General features: G+C 44.4%; 1 protein-coding gene across 28 annotated transcripts, besides 8 other annotated features; it reads right to left on the bottom strand.

Annotated features, from left to right (window-relative positions):
• Positions 1–1,859: 1,859 nt before the first annotated feature.
• On the bottom strand, positions 1,860–20,403 carry CNOT8 (CCR4-NOT transcription complex subunit 8). 28 transcript variants are annotated; one of them, XM_047417891.1, is made up of 7 exons: positions 20,127–20,315; positions 19,884–20,013; positions 13,267–13,460; positions 7,830–7,991; positions 6,778–6,922; positions 6,001–6,111; positions 1,860–3,362 (listed from the first exon to the last, which is right to left on the bottom strand). In XM_047417891.1, the coding sequence occupies exons 4-7, from the start codon at positions 7,982–7,984 to the stop codon at positions 3,213–3,215; spliced, it is 561 nt and encodes a 186-aa protein (XP_047273847.1). In that variant the 5' UTR covers positions 7,985–7,991; positions 13,267–13,460; positions 19,884–20,013; positions 20,127–20,315; the 3' UTR covers positions 1,860–3,212. The 28 variants fall into 28 exon arrangements, with proteins under 28 accessions (XP_047273847.1, XP_047273846.1, XP_047273837.1 ...); XM_047417890.1 differs by having other exon boundaries at positions 20,109–20,135; XM_047417881.1 differs by lacking the exon at positions 20,127–20,315 and adding an exon at positions 15,257–15,445 and having other exon boundaries at positions 18,779–20,025.
• Positions 18,717–19,219: an enhancer, noted in NCBI's record as "H3K27ac hESC enhancer chr5:154238993-154239495 (GRCh37/hg19 assembly coordinates)". NCBI's record gives its function as "activates a minimal SCP1, AML or CMV promoter by ChIP-STARR-seq in naive H9 embryonic stem cells {active_cell/tissue: H9 hESC(naive)}" and the evidence as "EXISTENCE:reporter gene assay evidence [ECO:0000049][PMID:30033119]".
• Positions 19,723–20,225: an enhancer, noted in NCBI's record as "H3K27ac hESC enhancer chr5:154237987-154238489 (GRCh37/hg19 assembly coordinates)". NCBI's record gives its function as "activates a minimal SCP1, AML or CMV promoter by ChIP-STARR-seq in primed H9 embryonic stem cells {active_cell/tissue: H9 hESC(primed)}" and the evidence as "EXISTENCE:reporter gene assay evidence [ECO:0000049][PMID:30033119]".
• Positions 19,761–19,820: a silencer, noted in NCBI's record as "silent region_16555". NCBI's record gives its function as "represses an Ori minimal core promoter by ATAC-STARR-seq in GM12878 lymphoblastoid cells {active_cell/tissue: GM12878}" and the evidence as "EXISTENCE:reporter gene assay evidence [ECO:0000049][PMID:35858748]".
• Positions 19,881–19,980: a silencer, noted in NCBI's record as "silent region_16554". NCBI's record gives its function as "represses an Ori minimal core promoter by ATAC-STARR-seq in GM12878 lymphoblastoid cells {active_cell/tissue: GM12878}" and the evidence as "EXISTENCE:reporter gene assay evidence [ECO:0000049][PMID:35858748]".
• Positions 20,181–20,350: an enhancer, noted in NCBI's record as "active region_23488". NCBI's record gives its function as "activates an Ori minimal core promoter by ATAC-STARR-seq in GM12878 lymphoblastoid cells {active_cell/tissue: GM12878}" and the evidence as "EXISTENCE:reporter gene assay evidence [ECO:0000049][PMID:35858748]".
• Positions 20,181–20,729: a biological region, named in NCBI's record as "NANOG-H3K27ac-H3K4me1 hESC enhancer GRCh37_chr5:154237483-154237986".
• Positions 20,226–20,729: an enhancer, noted in NCBI's record as "NANOG-H3K27ac-H3K4me1 hESC enhancer chr5:154237483-154237986 (GRCh37/hg19 assembly coordinates)". NCBI's record gives its function as "activates a minimal SCP1, AML or CMV promoter by ChIP-STARR-seq in naive and primed H9 embryonic stem cells {active_cell/tissue: H9 hESC(naive and primed)}" and the evidence as "EXISTENCE:reporter gene assay evidence [ECO:0000049][PMID:30033119]".
• Positions 20,730–21,231: an enhancer, noted in NCBI's record as "NANOG-H3K27ac-H3K4me1 hESC enhancer chr5:154236981-154237482 (GRCh37/hg19 assembly coordinates)". NCBI's record gives its function as "activates a minimal SCP1, AML or CMV promoter by ChIP-STARR-seq in primed H9 embryonic stem cells {active_cell/tissue: H9 hESC(primed)}" and the evidence as "EXISTENCE:reporter gene assay evidence [ECO:0000049][PMID:30033119]".

Below are 22,125 nucleotides of genomic sequence, written 5' to 3'. Positions count from 1 at the left end.
CTTGAAATTTTTCCAAATAGGGTAGATGGGGAAGAAGGGGTAGGAGTGGTAAAACTTTTCCAAACAGAGTAAACTGAAACATTTAAATGCGTAACTTGTTGTTTTTTTTTTGTTTTGTTTTTTGTTTTTTTTGAGACTGTCTCTGTTGCCCAGGCTGGAGTGCAGTGGCGCGATCTTGGGTCACTGCAACCTCCACCTCCTGGGTTCACGCCATTCTCCTGCCTCAGCCTCCCAAGTAGCTGGGACTACAGGTGCCCACCACCATGCCCGGCTAATTTTTTGTGTTTTTAGTAGAGACAGGGTTTCACTGTGTTAGCCAGGATGGTCTCAATCTCCTGACCTCATGATCCACCCGCCTTGGCCTCCCAAAGTGCTGGGATTACAAGCGTGAGCCACTGTGCCCAGCCTAAATGCGTAACTTGTAAAGAAAAGAAAGGAGGGGAGGGAGGGATTGTCCGTTAAGGCATGTTTGGGCATGTTTAGGCATGGCAAAGATGGAAAGGCTTGTTTAGAGAACAAGAATGTATCTTCTAGCAATGTGAAATGACATTAGTCGCTAAAAGAAACAAAGAAGTTTGAAGAGGAACTGACTGTTTCTGGCACCAGCTATTTGGGAGGCTGAGGCAGGAGAATTGCTTGAACCTGGGAGGCGGAGGTTGCAGTGAGCCAAGATCATGCCACTGCACTCCAGCCTGGGCGACAGAACAAGACTCTGTCTCAAAAAAAAAAAAAAAAAAAAAAAAAAAAAGAATTACAAGCCAGCACGGTGGCTCATGACTGTAAGCACTTTGGGAGGCCAAGGCAGGCAAATCACTTGAGGTCAGGAGTTTGAGACCAGCTTGCCCAACATGGTGAAACCCCATCTCTACTAAAAAAATATAAACATTAGCTGGACATGGTAGCATGCACCTGTAGTCCCAGCTACTCAGGAGGGTGAGGGTGCAGTGAGCTAAGATCATGCCACTGCACTCCAGCCTGGATGACCGAGTGAGACCCTGTCTAAACCTCGAAAGAATTACACCTTAAGTGATTCTCTTGGTTACCCTACAGTGCCATCACTTTTTGAGGATGAGCATTCACATAGACCTATATGCACTCATACACACAAAGTTCTTGCCAGTTCCAAGACTTGTGCTCTTTCTTGCTAAAGCACTACTCTAAGCTCTTAACTCTCACATGCAATGATGACCAAACCCCACACTCAACACTGAGTTCCTCAACCCTTTGAGCATTTCTCCTGACATGTAAGTAAGTCCTTAATTGTAGAAAATATTAAATGTCCTGCTTTAATTCAAATTTGGAAGGGTATCTGCATAGCGCTCACAGTCACCAGCATGCCAGGGCACCCTGGTTGAGAACCACTGACTGCTGTTTCACCAGAAATTACAGTGATAAATCTCTTGTTTTGTCAACTTCCCAGTCACAATTCCATATCTGCCCCTGTACCAGACTTCTTAAAACCCCACATATTTTGTGTCAACAGAAATGGCTGGAAACAAAGTCTTGAGCCAACTCTAGGATATCTGAAGTTCAGGTTGTTTAAAAGAATCCCACTAATTAACAAGCTAATCCACCATATATAGTGGAGTGACCCCAGGAAATATTAGACTGGTTTAATTCTATAATATTAAGACCCAACAATCTTGAGTATGAAGAGACAATTCCATTTACACAGGTGCTCGTGAAAAGCTTCCTACCAAGTGATATGTATTTTTTTTATTCCCGAACCCACCCCCCAAGTGATATTTTGTATGTAAGCCAACTTGGGGACAATGGAGGCAAGATGCTCTTATTTCACTGATGGCAAATGACCATCTTCCAGAGCCAGCAATCCATAGCTATGAAAGACCAAACCTTAATGCCAGTGGTTAAAAAGAAATCTTTATTTTACAAAATTAAAAACATAAATAGTATTTACAAGCATCTTAAATACCAGCTTATAATACTTGACATTTTCTAATCATTTCAAATTGAGTTTCCCATAAGCTTTTAAAATGCAAGACCATTCATTCACTTGAGTGAGTTACCAGTTTTTACTTCCACCAATCCAAAGTGGGTTTTGGTTTTTGAAATTGTCCATACTGTAGTCATTCAAAAAAATACAATATGCTTTTGAAATGACTAGCTTTAAAGAAAAAAGTCCTGAGCTTCCTACCCCAGTTGTGGGATATTACTCCAAAACAACTCAAGAACCCAAATTATCTTACTGCCTGATTAAATGTAACCACTCTAGCTTTTTAAAGACACATTCCTGTTACTCACATTAATCCATCTCCCTCACGTTTCAGGTTTGCTGGAAGGAAAAGTAGAGAAATAATGGAGTAGAGAAGTGGGAGAATCCAGATGACCATCTGAAATCACATTACTGAAAATACAACAGACATGACCCAAAAATCTGATCTTACTAGTTTCCTTCAGGATCAAATCCAGGATATTTTATTGTACAAAAATTTCAAATGATTTCAGATGATGCATATGTGACAGCAAACCTGAATGGCACAATGGAACACAGACTTAAAAGATGCTTCAGTGGTCAACACTCATTCTGGAGTTCTCATGAATGAAGGGTAGACAGATTCAGTAAAATTGTTTGCTTTTCAGTTTCATTATCTGGTCTTCAAATTTCAGCACAGAGCAATTCATTTCCATATAGTAATATGTAAAGAGAGACTACAAAAGTGTGAGGAAAGCAAATGTCCTCGAGAAGGGTCAGAAAAGGAAAGGAAGACTCAGTATCTACAACCCATTACCTAAGAACACCATTTTGTTCCATTTTCCCTGGAAGCCCTCACAGCTCAGCTGAGAATCAGAGTAAGAATCTTCATTATCAGAGATTAGCAACAAATTTAAAAGAAAAAGAATGACAACAGGTAAGAGTTATATACATTTTACTACTTTGTTTCAGACTTGTCCTGATATTTAAAAAGGTGTCAAATGAGCCATGGATGCTGGTGGCAGGAGGCAACCAGAGAGGAGAGGCTCGAGTATGAGGAATGGGGAAGACTTATTTACAAATTCAGAGCAAACTCCTCTCTTCTGGGTCTAAAATAAAAACATCTTTTGTCTTCAGTAAAACAAAAGTCTTTCTGCTCAATGCAGATGGTAGGTACAGTGTGCTCAAAAGAAGCATTTTCTCTTGGGGAAGATAAGTACACAGTCAGCACAGTAAGCACCACTCTGGGATCAGGCCCACCCTGCAGAGCCTGGCGCCATCACTGCTGCATGTTGTTGATAATCGCCAGGATGCTCATCTTCTCCTGGGCAGAGTCCACATCCTCATTCTGCTTCTGGGCCACTCCTGTGCCTAAGCCATAGAGCCGCCCACAGTACTTGGCATCATCAATGCTGTCCTCAAAAAACAACTGCAGAATGGGACAGAGAACCATGGTGAGAGTTATGCTAGAAGTCATGACAAGTATAAATATTATCACATCTGGCCGGGTGCAATGGCTCACGTCTGGAATCCAAGCACTTTGTGAGGCTGAGGCGGGCAGATCACTTGGGGTCAGGAGGTCGAGACCAGCCTGGCCAACATGGCAAAACCCCATCTCTACTAAAAGTACAAAAATGAGCCGGGCATGGTGGCACATACCTGTAATCCCAGCTACTTGGGAGGCTGAGGCGGAAGAATCACTTGCGCCCAGGAGGCAGAGGGTGCAGTGGGCCAAGGCCGTACCACTGCACTCCAGCCTGGGCAACATAGCGAAGACTCCATCTCAAAAAAGAAAAAAACCACTACCACATCACCACCTCCCAGCCTTCCTAAAGCCCTGAAAATATACCAAACTAGAAAAAAAAACTAATAGTATAGAAAGGCTCGGCCAGGCACAGTGGCTCACGCCTGTAATCCCAGCACTTTGGGGCGCCAAGGCAGGTGGATTACGAGGTCAGGAGTTCAAGACCAGCCTGGCCAAGATGGTGAAACCCTGTCTCTACTAAAAATACAAAAAATTAGCCAGGCGTGGTGGCAGGCACCTGTAATCCCAGCTACTTGGGAGGCTGAGGCAGAGAATTGTTTGAACCCGAGAGGCAGAGGTTGCAGTGAACTGAGATCACACCACTGCACCCCAGCCTGGGTGACAATGCAAGACTCCGTCTCGAAAGAAAAAGAAAAAGAGACAGGGTTTCACTCACTGCAACCTCCGCCTCCCAGGCTCAAGTGATTCCCTTGCCTCAGCCTCCCGAGTAGCTGGGATTACAGGTGCATGTCATCACACCTGACTAATTTTTGTACTTTTAATAGAGGCAGGTTTCACCATGTTGGCCAGGCTGGTCTCGAACTCCTGACCTCAAGTGATCCACTTGCCTCGGCCTCCCAAAGTGCTGGGATTACAGGTGTGAGCCACCGCACCCGGCCTAAACCTTTCCTTTTAATGCAGTCTTTTCATGCTCCTTTCTCTATAGGAGAAAGGCTCTCCTATCTGAACATACTTTCCATGTATTCTTTTACTGCCAGTATCTCTGTGCTGCTGCTGTTTAACACAACTGCTCCCTTCTCTTTAACAGGCAGAGCAATGGGCTGGGCTTGGGCTGTGGATTCAGCCGGACTCACTTGACCTTGGCAAAGTCATTTAAACTCCTTTTAAGCCATAGTTCCCTATCTATAAAACAGGATAATAGGGTTATTATGAGGAATGAGATAACGAACAGTAAGCACTTAACGCAAGATCTCTCCACTGTGGCACTACTGGGGTAGGATAATTATTTGGGGGAACTTGTCCAGTGTATCACAGGATGTTTAGCAGCATCCTGACAGGTAGCACACCACTCTCCCCCACCAGATTGTGACAACCAAAATCATCTACAGATATTAACAAATGTACCCTCCAGGGCAAAATCATCCCCAGTTGAGAATCACTGACCTAGAACATTTACCAACACATGGTAACAGTTGTTTATAATTAAGAGTAACAAAGAGGAAATGTACTCTCCCTCTCTACAATCTTAGTTCTAAAAAGGAGATCCATGTCTACAGATCAATTAATCTGATCCGGTCCTCAAAAGTGTCAACAAAATCAATATTTCAATTTTTCAAAGCAGCGTCTTACTCCTTCTACATCTTTGAATATATTTTAAAACCTGAGTCAGTGAGTAAAGAAACTAAAAGAAGAAATTAAGAGTCTAATTTTTACTAAGGGGTTATAGTAAATTCAATATAGTATTTATTTAATAATAATTAACAGAACTTACCATAATGTCAGTAGGTGGCCTAACAAATATATTTCTATTACAGGAATCAGAAAAAAAGCAAATAACTGAAAGGATTAGAGCTGACAAGAACATGAAGTTCTGGACTTGGGTGTGCTCAAGAATACTTGGTTACTGGAAAGTGGCTTTCACGTCAGAATGCTGCTTTTGCCTCTCAAACATGTGACATGCAGAATACCATAACAAAAAACAACCACTTTCAAAGTGGACATCAACTTGCTAAAAAAACAGTCTATGTGGCTGGGCGTGGTGGCTCACGCCTGTAATCCCAGCACTTTGGGAGACCAAGCCAGGCGGATCACCTGAGGTCAGGAGTTCGAGACCAGCCTGGCCAGCATAGTGAAACCCCGTGTCTACTAAAAATACAAAAAATTCGGCCAGGCAGAGTGGCTCATGCCTGTAATCCCAGCACTTTGGGAGACCAAGGCAGGCAGATCACCTGAGGTCAAGAGTTTGAAACCAGCCTGGCCAACATGGCGAAACCCTGTCTCTACTAAAAATACAAAAATTAGTAGGGCATGGTGGCGGGCACCTATAATCCCAGCTACTCAGGAGGCTGAGGCAGAAGAAAAGCTTGAACCCGGGAGGCGGAGGTTGCAGTGAGCTGAGATCGCACCACTGCACTCCAGCCTGGGTGACAGAGCAAGGCTTCATCTCAAAAAAAATAAATAATAAATAAATAAAAAATAAATGTTCAACAAACCTCAGCCCACATAACAGACCATCCACTACCTCCTTAGCCTTCAGCAAGTTACTGCCGAGAGGCCTGTGATCACATTCAAGGAAGCTTACCTCTTTCATCCTAAAGAAAGCCATTCCTGTCAGCAGTGAGTCTGAGCCTGCCTGGTGCTGCCTTCCAATCCTCTGCAAATCCAACTGATCAGCAACTTCCTGAAGACCTCCCTGGAGATGTATGGAGAACAAAGATAATATTACAAACCCAACATGCCCCTACTGGAGCCAACTAAGTGCAGTTATGAGTTCACTGAATTCTAGCAAGAAGTGGGGACAGGCCATTTATTTAACAGGCCTTAGTAACCTCTTTTTAGCTCTTTTATTCCCTTTTTCCAGACGCTATATTGTGCTACATCCTACATTTTGCTCCTTTCCATGTTGTTAATTTTTCCAGAACTCTGCCATTAAAATCAGAATTGCAAGGCTGAGGAAATAGTAAATCCCACTCTAATTCTAGACAGCAAAGCTCTATGTCAACAATTTATTACGGTACCAAGTTCTAAAACTTTCTAGAGTTAAGAACTCCTCTAAGAATCTGTTATACCACAGACCCCATCCCTAACAAACAGCATTTATACCTTTTCATTAGGTTCATGGCCCTCGAGTGAAGAATGCCTGCCTTAAGATGACAGAAGCAGAGGGTTCCCTTCATGGCCAGGTTAAAGATCGTTACCACACAAATATCTGACCAAATCAGCTTTATATTATACCCTGTCTACCACCACACTAGCATCTAGTACTCAAAAATGCATGCTGAACACGTAACAATAAAGCAAAGTCAGCTTTTTTTCTGTCCTTCTTTTTGTTACTGGTATTAAGAAAAACATCATATACCTTAAGATTTTTGCAGCTCTTCATCAGGTATTTCACATCATAAATGGATGGGAAGAAAAGGTTCAGAATATGAAAGAATTCATGTTCCTCTTCTGGCAAACGAGAATCTGTAAGCAACTTTACCATATAGCCAAAATCATAGCCACTACAAGAGAATAAACCACAGAGGTTAAAAAAGCAGTGGTTATCAGGCCCCAGTGTTCAACCATTTTATTTCTCAAAGCTTGTAAATGCTACTTCATGTTAGGAACTTTCACTTTTTCTGAGTAGTTTATCGTACTATAATCTGAATCTTTTTTTTTTTTTTTTTTTTTTGAGACAGAGTCTTACTCTGTTGCCCAGGCTGGAGTGCAATGGCACGATCTCGGCTCACTGCAACCTTCACCTCCCAGGTTCAAGCAATTATCCCTGCCTCAGCCTCCCAAGTAGCTGGGATTACAGGCACCCGTCACCATGCCTGGCTAATTTTTGTATTTTTAGTAAAGACAGGGTTTTGCCATGGTGGCCAGGCTGGTCTCGAACTCCTGACCTCAGGTGATCCACCTTTCTCAGCCTCCCAAAGTGCTGGGATTATAGATGTGAGCCACTGCGCCCGGCCTATAATCTGAACTTTCTAATAACAACCTAACAGACTAATATGGGAGATATAAAAAAGTACCCAAGGGGTTTAATTGTAGATTCGATTCACCAAAAATCCAAAAGTACTGAGAAGTTAAAATAAGGAGAATCTGGCTTTCAAGTACCTAAGAAACTCCGAGACAGCCATTTAAAAGATAACCAAGTACTGTGACCCTCTACACCCACCATATTCCCACTTGGAATTAAACCCACTGATAGCCACATGATAGAGCCAAATACTGTGTGAAACAAACCAGTATATGAGCCCCAGTGTTTTGTGAAAAACTGAAACATGGGCAACAAGCACCAATTCAACTTCTGGCTGCTGCTGCTGAACAGAACAGTCACTAGGACTGCAAAAATGACTAAGAATTCAATTCCCTGCTTCAGTGTAGCCCAAAGTGAGAGAGAAATACACATTCCCTAGGACTGACCTATGAAATGAAAGCCATTTGACATTGTCACAGAGAACCACTCCTGATGTCATAAGCAGCTCTGCAAAGTGCAGTGTGTCAATCCCTTCCTCTTCATGCTTCTGAAACTGTAGTCCTGAGTTAGCAAGGAGATCTATGGAATCCTGGGAGTACATGTCCTCTCTAAAAAACAAGGTGTTTATTTATTAACTGGTGAATAATGAAACAGAAGTAGTGGCCACACTATTACCACCACCTTATAATTATAGTACAAGTATTTTTGAAATGCTTTTCCTAACTTAATAGATCAATTCACTCTTTCCAACATTCAAACAAGCATGCAAAGTAGATCATATTTCTGTGACAGATAGAAAAATGAGATTTTCCTCCATAAACTAAATTTCCTAATTATAATAGGTATACATTTGCTCATTATTTAAAAAAAAAAAAAAACCAATAACACCAGGCACAGTGGTGCACGCCTGTAATCCCAGCACTCTGGAAGGCCAAGGCAGGAAGATCACTTCAGACCAGGAGTTCCAGACCAGCCTGGGTGACAGAGTGAGACTCCGTCTCAAAAAAAACAAAACAAACAAAAAAAAAACAACACACACACACACACACAAACAAAGATTAGCCAGGCATGGTGGTATGCACCTGTAGTTCTAACTACTCCGGAGGCTGAGGTGAGAGGATTGTTTGAGGCCAAGAACTGGAGGGGACTCACACCACTGCACTCTAGTCTAGGTGACAGAGCAAGATCCTGTCTCAAAAATAAAATAAGTAGGCCGGGCATGGTGGCTCACACCTGTAATACCAGCACTTTGGGAGGCTGAGACAGGCAGATCACTTGAGGCCCAGAGTTCAAACCAGCCTGGCCAACATGGTGAAACCCTGTCTCTACCAAAAATACAAAAATTAGGCCAGGCGTGGTGGCTCATGCCTGTAATCCCAGAAATTTGGGAGGCCAAGGTGGGCGGATCACGAGGTCAAGAGATCAAGACCATCCTGGCCAACGTGGTGAAACCCTCTCTCTACTAAAAACACAAAAATTAGCTGGGCGTGGTGGCGCACGCCTGTAATCCCAGCTACTTGGGAGCCTGAGGCAGCAGACTCACTTGAATCTGGGAGGCAGAGGTTGTAGTGAGCCAAGCTCGCGCCACTGCGCTCCAGCCTGATGACAGAGCGAGACTCCCTCTCAAAAAAAAAAAAAAAAACACAAAAAAACAAAAATTAGCCGGACGTGGTGGCATGCCCCTGAATCCCAGCTACTCAGGAAGTTGAGGCATGAGAATCACTTGAACCCAGGAGGCAAAGGCTGCAGTGAGCCAAGATGGCGCCACTGTACTCCAGCCTAGGAGACAGAACAAGACTCTGTCTCAAAAAAATAAATAAACTTAAAAAAAAAAAAAAAAAAACCAACAAGGCCGGGTGGGGTGGCTCACGCCTGTAATCCCAGCACTTTGGGAGGCTGAGGTGGGTGGATCACCTGAGGTCGGGAGTTCGAGACCAGCCTGACCAACATGGAGAAACCCCATCTCTACTAAAAATACAAAATTAGCAGGGCGTGGTGGCACATGCCTGTAATCCCAGCTACTCAGGATGCTGAGGTTGGAGAATCGCTTGAACCTGGGAGGCAGAGGTTGCAGTGAGCTGAGAAAGCGCCATCACACTCCAGCCTGGGCAACAGGAGCGAAACTCTATCTCAAAAAAAAAAAATAAACCAACAAAAAAATATTGAGGCACAGATGGTGGGCAGCCAGCTAAGATGACCTGACGCGCCTTCCAGCTGATTCAGGCTGCTTGCCTCAGACTCAGACACCGCCACCATGGCCAGTGAGTCTCAGGGGATCCAGCAGCTGCTGCAGGCTGAGAAATGTGCCACTGAGAAGGTATCCAAGGCCCATGAGCAAAAGACCCAGAGGCTGAAGTAGATCAAAGGAGCAGCTAAGGATGAAACTTAACAGTACCACCTGCAGAGGGAGGAAGTGGTCCAGGCCAAGGAAGCCACAGCCCTGGAATCCCAGTAGCTGCAGCACTCAAGTGGCGTAGGAAGCCCAGAAGAGGACCAGCCTCCAGACCTACTTCTGGCAGAACAAGGCTTGGATAGCCTCTTGGCCACCGTCTGTGACACTGAGCAGAAATCCATGAAAACTACAGCATAAATGGAAAGGAGTGGGAGAAAGAAGTGCCTGTTCCATGAACTGGCGTTTTAGATGCCCTCAGGGAACATAAAGCTTTGGCAAAGCTCAAGTTATATTCTTATGAAGTAAATAGGTCGGGTGCGGTGGCTCACAACTGTATGTAATCCCAGCACTTTGGGAGACCAGAGTGGGTGGATCACGAGGGTCAGGAGTTAAAGACAAGCCTGGCCAAGATGGTGAAACCCCGTCTTTACTAAAAATACAAAAGTTAGCCAGGCATGGTGGGCACCTGTAATCCCAGCTACTTAGGAGGCTGAGGCAGAGAATTGCTTGAACCTGGGAGGTGGAGGTTGCAGTGAGCCGAGATTGCACCACTGCACTCCTGCCTGGGTGACAAAGCAAGACATTACCTCAAAAAAAAAAAAAAAAAAGAAAAGAAAAGAAAAAGAAAAGGCAGTAAATAGGTGGGGCATGGTGGCTCATGCCTGTAATCCCAGCACTCTGGGAGGCCAAGGCGGGCGGATCACAAGGTCAGGAGTTCGAGACCAGCCTGGCCAACATGGTGAAACCCCGTCTCTACTAGAAAAATACAAAAATTATCCAGGCATGGTGGTGGGCGCCTGTAATCCCAGCTACTCGGGAGGCTGAGGCAGGAGAACTGCTTAAACCCGGGAGGCAGACGTTGCAGTGAGCTGAGATTGTGCCACTGCACTCCAGCCTGGGTGACAGAGCAAGACTCTGTTTCAAAAAAAAAGAAAAGGAAAGGAAGTAAATGATTTCTGTATATTACATAGCAGGTCCCTTCACTTCTTGGAGAGTAGCAAATCTAGCTTCTTTGTACAGACTTACAACTTAACTAAAGCTTTTATATTTTAAAAAAGACATTAAAAATTTTTTTTCTCTTTACCTCGTATTTCCTAGAAATGTAATGGGTATGTGTTGTCTGTTCTCCTATGTCTTTTAGCTCAAGCAACACATGTATTATTGTTGACTTTTTCTTTCTTATATCTAGTGAAAGGAAAAAAGTTCTTTGAAGAAAGAAAGAAATTAAGTTTTCTTTTTCCCTAATGCTTCCATGAAGGTCAGGGGCTTTATCTATGAAAAAGTAGCAAATAGTTATTTGTAACCCACGTGAAGCAACAGCCAGCCTTAAAGTAGTCTATTCCTGCTAATGGTTCAAACAATGAATACTAGTGTAATTGTTTGAGCTACTTGTAGTTTCTCTTAATCAAAATTACTAGATGACAGAATTAAATAACTTGTAACATGTTATTACTTGGTATACAGATGATTATCTAAAAGACTCTGTCATGAAAAAAACTGAAAAAATTAATGGTCGTATAATGCTACCCCACAGATCCAATACCTTTGTTTACAGATCTTTCCAGACTATTTTCTCTATCTACACATACACACCTACATCCCTTACATCTCTACATCACAGACCATCTTTACAAATCAATACTCATCCATTGTAACACTGTCATAATATTCCACTCTAAAGATATATCCATTAATTCAACCACAGGAATTATTTATAATACCATGTAATACAAAAGTAAGGAAATAAGCTAAACGACTCCTGTTCCACTAGACTTTCACTTGCTTTTCATATAAACTTGGGTTAGACAATAAGAAAACCACTGCAATCTTGATTTTTTTCCACTAAATTAAAACCAATGATGAATCACAAGTTTCTTTTCCACTTAAATAAACATTTTTTTTTTGTTTTGCTTATTATAACTAGGCTTCAATCCCAAGTAAACATTATTTTTTTTCTTTTTCTTGAGGCAGAGTCTCATTCTGTCACCTAGGCTGGAGTGCAGTGGCACAATCTCGACTCACTGCAGCCTCCACCTCACAGGTTCAAGTGATCCTCCCACCTCAGCCTCCTGAGTAGCTGGGATTACAGGCACCTGCCAGCATACCCAGCTAATTTTTTTATTTTTAGTAGAGATGGGGTTTCACCACATTGGCCAGGCTGGTCTTGAACTCCTGGCCTCAAGTGATCCAGTGATCCACCCACCTCGGCCTCCCAGAGTGCTGGAGTTACAGGCGTGAGCCACCACGCCCGGCTGCAAGTAAACATTATTTTAAACCCAAACATACCCAAACCACTCAGTGAAATAACTCATTTTTCTTCCTTGTATTATATTATTTTTATGGTACAAACTACAGGCTTTGACAATAAACTAAAAAATGCAGTTAAAGGAAAGATCCAGATGATCTCCCAAAATTACTTGAACCTCAAGGAAATTTCCAAAACATACGAACAACAATAAAAAAAATTACTCCTTCCAGGAACAATGGCTCCACCTGTAATCCCAACACTCTGGGAGGCCAAAGCGGGCTGATCACTTTCTACAAAAAATCAGCTGGGCATGGTGGCGTGCACCTGTAGTCCCAGCTACTTAGGGGGCTGACGTGGGAGGATCAGATAAGCCTGGGAGATTGAGGCTGCAGTAAGCCATGTTAGCACCACTGCACTCTAGCCTGGGTGACAAAGCGAGACCCTGTATTGACAGGAAAAAAAGATTACTCCTAAATCATGAAACACTCCCGATGCCCAGTTAAACAAAGCAGGATACAATAGGAAGTACACTAACATCATTTTATGCAATCAGCAAAATGACAGTCTCCCCGAAATTTTCTTTGAAAATTCCTGGGCATACATCCAAAAGAACTGAAGGCAAGACCTTGAAGAAATATTTGCACACCCATGTTCATAGCAGCAATATTCACAACAGTCAAGAGGTAGAAAAAACCCACGTGTCTATCAACAGATGAATAAACAAAATGCGGTATATACATACCATGGAATTTTCCACTGCCTAGGAGTGGAATTGCTAGGTCATATGGCAACTCTATGTTTAACCTTTTCAGGAACTGCAAAACTATTTTCCAGAATTTCCCCCAAAATTCTATATTCCCAGCAGCAATGTATGAGGGTTCCAATTTTCTCCACACCCTCAACAACACTTATTATGTCTTTTTGACTATAGCCATTCTAGTGGGTGTGAAGTGGTATCCCAATGTGGGTTTAATTTGCATTTCCCTCATGACTAATGATGTTGAGCATCTTTTCATGTGCTTACTGGCCATCTGTACATTATCTTTCAAGAAAAGTCTATCTTTTGCACATTTTTAGTTGGGTTGTTTATCTTTTCATTGTTGAGCTGCTGCAGTTCTTTAAGCAGGACTTCACTTGCTGAGATTCCCTGTTCCGTCCTCTGCTTGACCGCTCTATCCAACACCCACCTGGATTCAGTGAAAACAAAACTTAAAATTAACGCATTTATTTAGAAATCACTTACGTAAGGTTAAATTTGAAATTGAACTGCCAAGTATTGATTCCAGAAGGATACTCTCCCTTCTCATTTGTGAATGTAAGGCCCAGCTGGATAATTTTTAAAAGGTCAACATTGCACCGCAGAAGCTGATATTGGTAATCTATGGAACTACGAAATTCACCAATTGGTCGCACCACAACACCTGGAAATTCTGTGTCCTGGAAAAGGAAAAAGTCTCTCATCACAAGGTTTCACAAAACAGTGGATGCTGAATTGGTAATTCATAAATAAAATTTTACCTCCATTTATAAAAGTTATGTGGCAAGCCCCAAACTTGGGCACAAAATTCTTTTTGTGTTTTTTTGAGATAGGGTTGGTCTGTCTCTGTCACCCAGGCTGGAGGGCAGTGGCACAATCACAGCTCACTACAGCCTCAACCTCACAGGTGCAATCAATCCTCCCACCTCAGCCTCCCTAAGTAGCTGGAACTACAGGTGCACACCACCACACCCAGTTAATTATTGTATTTTTTTGTAGAGATGGGGTTTCACCATGTTGCCCAGGCTGGTCTCAAGTGATCCACCTGCCTCGGCCTCCCAAAGTGCACAGATTACAGGCATCAGCCAACACACCCAGCCAAAATCCTATCTTAAAATACTGATCTTGTTGGTATCTACTGAAGAAGCACTAAAATCATGAAGCTTTGCACAACAACTTGATCCTAAATAAGCAGAATGTCAATAGAAAGAGTTGAGTAACTACAGGTAGATATGCAGTCAATTAAGAACATTCTAGGTAGAGAACAATATATGAATAAAAATACAAATACAGGGAAGTGAAACAGCCATTCAGAAAAAAATATAAAGAGACAGGCTTAGCTTGAGTGAAAAGACTGGAAGGAGCTCTGAATACCAAGCTAAAGACTTAACTCTGTAATTTCTTTTTTTTTTTTGGGACGGAGTCTCGCTCTGTCCCCCAAGCTGGAGTGCAGTGGCACGATCTCGGCTCACTGCAAGCTCTGCCTCCCGGGTTCACGCATTCTCTGCCTCAGCCTCCCGAGTAGCTGGGACTACAGGCGCCCACCACCATGCCCGGCTAATTTTTTGTATTTTTAGTAGAGGCAGGGTTTCACCGTGTTAGCCAGGATGGTCTCAATCTCCTGACCTCGTGATCCGCCCGTCTCGGCCTCCCAAAGTGCTGGGATTACAGGCGTGAGCCACCGCGCCCGGCCAACTCTATAATTTCTAAAGCAGGAGTCACAAACTCCAAGCAGCTAATGTAAAGGAGTAAAGTCAGCTAGGTATGAAAATAGTACAAGTAATCGGGACTGGAGTAAAACAGAGAGCACATGCCCGTCTACAGGAGGCCCTTAATATTACCACAATACTCATCTCTCTCTCCAGCCAGTGTCAGGCAGGAGTGGATAACAGATATTGCCAGATCTTCCTATTTTTTTTTTTCAGAGATGCCAGAAATCTGGAATTCAAGTGAGTTCTATTGACTTTTAAATGCTGGCAATAAATTTTTAAAATTCTTAACATCGTATAGTCAAATCCAACATATCTGTGGAACAGCTGGGCCCTAGGGGATGACGTAACTTCTGCTTTAAAGACTTTCAAACAGAATAATGTTATAAAAAATCTAAGATACTAGAGGTTACATCCTTCTCAGAGACACTGGCTACCTTGATATTTCATGAAGCAACACAACCTTCCATCCGGTTTAATTTACAATGGCTTTAGTGGAACATACCCATTCTTTTCAAAATCTCAAATTAAACATTCCCTAAACCCATCCATATAAGAAGGTGAGTCAAGCTGGGCATAGTGGTATGAGCCTGCAGTCCCAGCAACCTGGAAAGGTGAGGTGGGAGGACTGCTTGAGCCCAGGAGTTCAAGGCTGCAGTGAGCTATGATTGCATCTGTGAATAGCCACCGCACTCCAGCCTGGGCAACAGAGCAAGACCCCAACTTTAAAAGTGACAAAGAAGGTGAGTCAGAGTAGAGCTCCTTACCATGGCAATATAACTGTAACTGAGCACGATTTCTCGGATCTTCCTCATCTCTTCTTCTAGATTACTGGCCCACACTTCACAGATAACCTGGCTATTCTCCACAAGTGCTGCAGGCATCCTGAAGAAACCTGAGAAGTCGTCTTCAGCTAACTAGTTTTACAGTGCAAGCCAGACAATGTTTGGTCTGATCTAGATTGTAAAACATTTTAAAATCATGTAAGTTTACACACACATAAGATGTCAACACAACAAAGACATCAAAATAATATTTTACAATCACTTCATTAGTTTAAAACATTAAGATTATATTTATTCTCCATTTTATATGATGGAGAAACTTTGTCAACACACACACACACATGCACACACGCACACACACACAGTTCTTTCTTGAAGAAACTGAAGTTATTGAAACTTCTGCCCAGCAGTCCTCTGCCACAGAAGTGAAACCACTACCCTAGTTTTTCAGCTCTCTGTAGACTAGACCAAAATAATTCCGTTACCACAAATATGCCCTTATCCATGACTTTCACATCACTTTGCACAGAGACCAAATCATGGAAACAGTCCTACAGGAATCATCTTAGCCATTTTCAATGTACCTGAGATCTCTGAAAACCTGAAAGAATGTGGACCTAAACTCTCACACTCAAGCCTTTGTACCCATATGATGAATACTGGCATGGGATTCTTCCCCCATCCCACAAAAGGAAATTATTTTTCTCTACAATCCCAAAGTCAAATACAACTAGAGGTAATAAACAATACCAGTGCCTCTTTAGACATACCAGTGCCTCTTTAGATTTGTGCAAACAGAGCATGAAGTGAGGGATTTAAGTGCTAAAAAACAATCCCACTTGCTAATCTGAACCCTAAAAACCACAATGCAAATCAGAATTTTAGTTAGTATTTACTTTTTTTTTTTTGAGATGGAGTCTTGCTCTGTCGCCCAGGCTAGAGTGCAGTGGTGCACTCTTGGCTCACTGCAACCTTTGCCTCCTGGGTGCAAGCAATTCTCCTGCCTCAGCCACCCAAGTAGCTGGGACTATAGGTGCACGCCACCACGCCCAGCTATTTTTTGTATTTTAGTAGAGATGGGGTTTCACCATATTGGTCAGGCTAGTCTTGAACCCCTGACCTTGTGATCCACCGGCCAGTATTTACTTTTAAACACATAAATTAAAAAGAAACTATGCAGCAATTCAACAGTAGGACTAAAGATGGCTGGTGTAAATCATTCAACCAGAAACAGAATGATTCATGGTGTATTTTCCAGGAGAAAAATCAGGGAGGGGAAAGTATTCTGTGAGAAAAAAATTCAACATGATTGGGTCTCTGACGAATGCTGTTATTATTATGGCAAACAACGTACAAGGCCTGGTTATAAAAATACAAAAAAGCCGGGCATGGTGGCTCACGCCTATAATCTCAGCACTTTGGAAGGCCGAGGCGGGCGGATCACAAGGTCAGGAGATAGAGACCATCCTGGCTAACACGGTGAAACTCCGTCTCTACTAAAAATACAAAACGTTGGCTGGCTGTGGTGGCACGCGCCTGCAGTCCCAGCTACTCGGGAGGCTGAGGCAGCAGAATCGCTTGAACCCAGGAGGCAGAGGTTGCAGTGAGCCAAGATCGCGCCACCGCACTCCAGCCTGGGCGACAGAGCGAGACTCCGTCTCAAAAACAAACAAACAAACAAAAAAGAGCTTATCATAAAGGCACTTACTTCTAAGGCAAGCCCACTGCATGGATCCACAACACAATAGTGGGCTCTAATGTATATATTTAAAGAAAATTTCCTAGAAACAGTAAAACGAATGTAAGTGGTTCCCAAGGGACAGAGCAAGGAAAATCTTTGCTTCCTATTTTCAAGATTGGCAGATGCAACAATGAGAATCTGGAGCAAAACAAAACTGGCATCATTTCTCTAAGAAACTTCTGAGAAATCAAACTGTTGGTTTGCCAGCAAACCTTGAAGATTCCATTTATTCAAGGTATCCTATACTTCCACAGATTTTTCTCTGTAATTACAGTAATTAAACTTAAGTAGACTATGTGGCATCTCCCCCAAAAAACATAGTAGAAACTTCTTAAAGCCAGAATAAATTTCTTCTCTTGTTTTTGTTCTATTACAGGCTTGCAAAAGAACAATAAAGATCAGGAAAAGAGAGAAGTTCAGAATGAATGTGGAGTAAATTACACTATCTGACCATAATTCAGAAAATGTTTCGACTCAGAATTTTAGATTCCTAAACTTGCTTAAGATTTCTCCCCTGCAAAAGGCCTTAAAACCATTTTCTATACCCATATAATGTTAAATCGGTGGTACTTCCTTATTTCCCTAACTGAAATAATACCCTTCATTTTTGGTGTCATTTCAAACATAACCATAACTACTTTGGAGGAAGTGGGTGTATCACTCCTGAGTTTTTGAGAGATGTTTCCGTAAAAGCAAAAGCAACAACAACAAAAAACCCCACACAACCAAAAGACGCCTTTAACTTCCATTTAAAAGAGAATTGGTTTTTAAAAAGCTAACCACTGTTATACATATCTGGCATATATATGGGGACTGCCGAAGCCAGACAGTTGGCAAAAATATGTAAGCCATTTTTGCTCCAAAGTTAGCTAGGATCTGTGGGGAAGTAAACAATAGCTTGCAAGCCCCTGAATGTAGTGCCACTCAAAAATTAAAGAGGAATCGCACTATGCACATTTAATTTAGCAAGTCAAATTACTGCATATGCTGGCCAAAAAATAAAATAAAATAGCAACTTAAATACCAGCAGGATAAGGGCAGTGGCTCACACCTGTAATCCCAGCACTTTTGAGAGGCTGAGACTGCAGAATCACTTGAGCCAGGAGTTCGAGACCAGCCTGGGCAACAAAGTGAGACCCCGTCTCTACAAAAAGTACAAAAACTTAGCCAGGCATGGTAGTGTGTGCCTGCAGTCCCAGCTACTCAGGAGACTGAGCTGGGAGGATCACTTGAGCCCCAGGAAGTCAAGGCTGCAGCAGTGAGCTGTGATTACGCCACTGCATTCCAGCCTCAGCGACTGAGCAAGAGCACGTCTCAAAAAAATCATCATCATCATCATCATCATACCAGCAATTCTGCCTGCCACTTTCCACTTTGTAAGCACATGCTCCAAAATGAGCCTAAGATAGGGGTTTGTCTTCCTCCTTTTAAGCCTCCTCAGGGCAAGCATCTCACAGCGCATCACAACTCTATGGCTTTCAAATATGCTTATTTGCACAACACAGCCCCTAAAGGTAATCTAATTACTTATCTGGGTTACAACCAAAGCAACAGTAACAAGTTTCAAAACTGAAGGAAAAACCGTCCAGGATGTAGTCAGAAACAGGATGCTAATCTCAAGCGTTGCACCTTCCTAGGAATTTTTAAGGGTTAATTTTTATTACATACAATGTTTGCCTCACGGGCTGACTTAAAAACTTGACTCCCACATGAGCTACACAGAAAACTGTGCAAGAAGGAAAGGTTTTCACAAACACACTCACACCTATGAATTACTGAAGTCCCTGCTCTGTGTTGACCTGCAGTGCAGTATGTTCAGATCGCTCCCGTTCATCTACGGTGTAAACTTCTCCAAAACATAGCTTCTTATTTACACAGGAAAGCTCTGAAGGGCAACTAATGATAAAGCCACAGGAAAGTTTTCTCTGCAAGCAATCAAGGCCTTGCTCGGGAAAAGAAACGTTGAGTCTGATTTTGTTCGTTTAAGCCCAAGTGTACAAGGAAACAATAAACATCACTTCCTTATTCTAGAGGACTGAACAAAGGCTTTGCCGTGCATAGATATGATAGAAAAGGAAGTGGCACGTTTGAAGAAATAAATAGCAGCAGCGTTTAAGAGGATCCTCTGACCCTCCCTTACCTCCAAACAGTGTCTCAAGGCACTGCCCTGGATTGAACCGCAGTTCAAACTTCTTAAAACCACCCGAATGGCCCAGGTCTGTGAGTTGGCTCCTCCATTCATAAAGCCATAGAACACCAAGAAAAAGTTATGGGGCCGCAAGAACTAAGGAAGAGGCGGCGATTTAGAAGGGGGAGGCCCGCAAGATTCCAAATTCAGGTCCTCCTCCCCACTACTCCGTCTCCCATCATCATTCTCTTCTCGTTTATCATCATCCTTCCACTTCAAATCACACTCAGTCCTCCTCCTTCTGACACGCCATTCTTCTTCTGTTTTTGTTTGGTAAAGCAAAGTTAAAATTACGGGCCTTAGGACTAAGATAACTAAGTTCGAAGCCAGGCCAGGCCACGTAGTAGTCGTGTGTCCTTGCATAAGCCACTTAATCTATTTCGTGCCTCGGTTTTCCTATCTTGTAAAATGGGTTTGATAACAGTACGCACCTCGGAGGATTGGAGTAGAAGTTAAAATGAAGCATATGAGATGCTTTGTAAAGTCCCCGCACATATTACTCGAATATTATCGTGTGACGGTGGCCATTATTATTACTACTCTTTGCTGGGGTTCCTCTCCTCCTCACACACCCTGCCCCTTACACACGCCCCCACTCCCCTTCCCCCTACAGACCCCCAATGGTCTCTCACACTCTTTCATCTTACGCTCCTCTTTCCGGTAAGCGCAGGCCCGCTTACCGGGACCGACAGGGCCCGCGAAGCGCTGGCTGGCGGGCTGACGAGCTGGCGGGCTGGCGGGCTGACTCCCCGACGGCGGCGACGGCAGCCCCTGGCCCGGAGCTCTTTTCCCTCTACCCCGGATCTGCTCCTAGAACCGAACGAGCCAGTGAGGTGAGCGCCCCCGTGCCCAGAGCGGTCTTACGTGCCTCCCACCAAACAACCGGACGGCACCACTCTACCCACCCGATCCGCCCGACTCGCCTGCTCTCTAGAGTCACTCCAGACGCGCGCGCGCGCCTGGTCACGCCCGCTCCTCCCCCTTTGCGCGCCCCTGCGACTCCGTGCGTGTTCGCTCTGCCTGTGAGGTCGCGGGAAGCAGCGCGCAGGAGCAGAAGTAACAGGGTGCCGCCGAATAGGTGGGGAGTGGAGGCCTGGAAGCACGCTTGCGGAAGACGGCCCGCCTGCGGCCCTCTTCGCGTGATTAGTTGCGCTCGCTCAATTTAATCATGATTCTTACTCCTCCATTTTGGTCCTCTTTCCGAGCGAACAAGGAAGGGGCGTGGTCTAGAACTAGCGCCCCCCCCCACCCCCCCGCCGTGGGCGCGGCCTGGAAAAATCCAAAGGCCGAGGAAAGGGCGTGGCCCTTCGAACAAACCCCTCGAATTACCACGCCCCCTCCTCCTGGCTTTGAAGGACCGTTAAAATCGTTGGCACGAAGGGATTTGTGAAGAGGCTGACGGAGAAAGAGGCTGTCGCGACTTTCTGTTCTAACATGGCCCCGTAGATGTCTCACAAAGCATCTATCCTACGGTTCCTTTCTGGCAAACAATTAGTTGGGGGTGGGGCGGCTCCCCAAAGCCGAATGTGGGTGACGTCCGCCAAGGCCCGCCTACCTCCCGGCCTCACCGAGCAGAGCGAGGAACATTGCCATAGCAACTGGCCCGCCAGGGTCTGCTCGAGTTACAAAGAGGACGGCGCCTCCCGTGGGCACGGCGCCTGGCCAGCGCAGGCGTCGCCGGGCTCTTCAGAGCTCCAAAATCTTTGCGGACGCGCAGGGAGCTCGCCAGATTTTAGTGTCGAGACCCACGGGCTCAGGCCTCGCCCAGGAGCTTCTGAGGCCCCTCTGCCAGCCCCTTGGTTCCCTCTTAATCCTGCTTGAAGAGAGGGCTCTTGACCGACGCCGGCCCTGGGCAGCGTGTGGCCAGCTGGGGCGCGCCTCCGCCTCGTGTTCTCCGCGGTGGGAGAGCAGACAAAGCGCCCGCTTCCTGCACACAGTGTCGGCGGCGGGCCGCCCTCAGCCACTCCCGCCAGCGCTCCACCCCTGTTCCCGAGAGGACGTGGGGGCTGCCCCAAGCACGGTTCTAGTTCTTGTCCCAGATGCTTGTACTTGAGAGGCTGTTGATAAGAAAACGGCAAATGTACCCCTAGTGACGAGGAGAGGGGCTTCTACTATTCACTTTGCACTTTTAAACATTTCCCCCTAAGGGGATTCTCCAAAATCCTCCAATTCCTAGGCTGGATGCCGAGCTGGCCTTGAGCGGCAATTTCAAACGGGATTCCCAAAAGCTGTTCTCCAGGGAGGTGAACTAGCTCCAGCCTCCAGGATAAGAGCATCAAATGCACTTTCTGAACTCCAGTCCTCCTCTTCTCCCCCCCAAATGAGTGTCTAGCTCCTTATCTGCAAAATTAGGTTACGAATGGCTGTCGTGAGCTTGTGAAGATTAAATAGTTAATAATTGGAAAAACACCCCGCACCGAGGAAGATATAAAAGAGCGTTCAATAAATGGCATGTCTCAGTTTGCTCTCCCTAAAACAGTCGATTTGGGGCCGGGATTGGTGGCTCACTGAGCCTGTAATCCCAGCACTTGGGGAGGCCAAGGCAGGCGGATCACCTGAGGTCAGGAGTTCAACACCAGCCTGGCCAACATGGCAAAACCCTGTCTCTACTAAATAATACAAAAATTAGCTGGGCGTGGTGGAGGGCACCTGTAATCCCAGCTACTCCGGAGGCTGAGGCAGGGAGAATTGCTTGAATCCAGGAGGCGGAGGTTACAGTGAGCCTAGATCGTGCCACTGCACTCCAGCCTGGGCGACACAGCAAGACTCCCTCTCAAAAAATAAAAAAATAAACAGTGATTCCGTTGAGGGATACACTGATAAAGAAGGCAGGCAAGTGCCCCATCCCCCAGTCAGTTCTATGGGTTTCTTTTTTTTTTTTTTTTTTTTTTTTTTTTGAGACTGAGTCTCGCTCTGTCACCC

The sequence above is a fragment of the Homo sapiens genome, chromosome 5 (assembly GCF_000001405.40).
Source record: "Homo sapiens chromosome 5, GRCh38.p14 Primary Assembly".
Lineage (NCBI taxonomy): Eukaryota > Metazoa > Chordata > Mammalia > Primates > Hominidae > Homo > Homo sapiens.
The sequence above is the reverse complement of the archived record's forward strand: the minus strand, read 5'-3'. Positions and strand labels throughout refer to the sequence as shown.

Coding starts and splice junctions, on each gene's coding strand:
- CNOT8 (XM_047417881.1), bottom strand. CDS start 15,373: ATGCCTGCAGCACTTGTGGAGAATAGCCAGGTTATCTGTGAAGTGTGG. Junction 6,112..6,777: donor AGAGCTGCAAAAATCTTAAG/GTATATGATGTT, acceptor ATACATCTCCAG/GGAGGTCTTCAGGAAGTTGC. Junction 3,363..6,000: donor CTTTCTTTAGGATGAAAGAG/GTAAGCTTCCTT, acceptor CCCATTCTGCAG/TTGTTTTTTGAGGACAGCAT.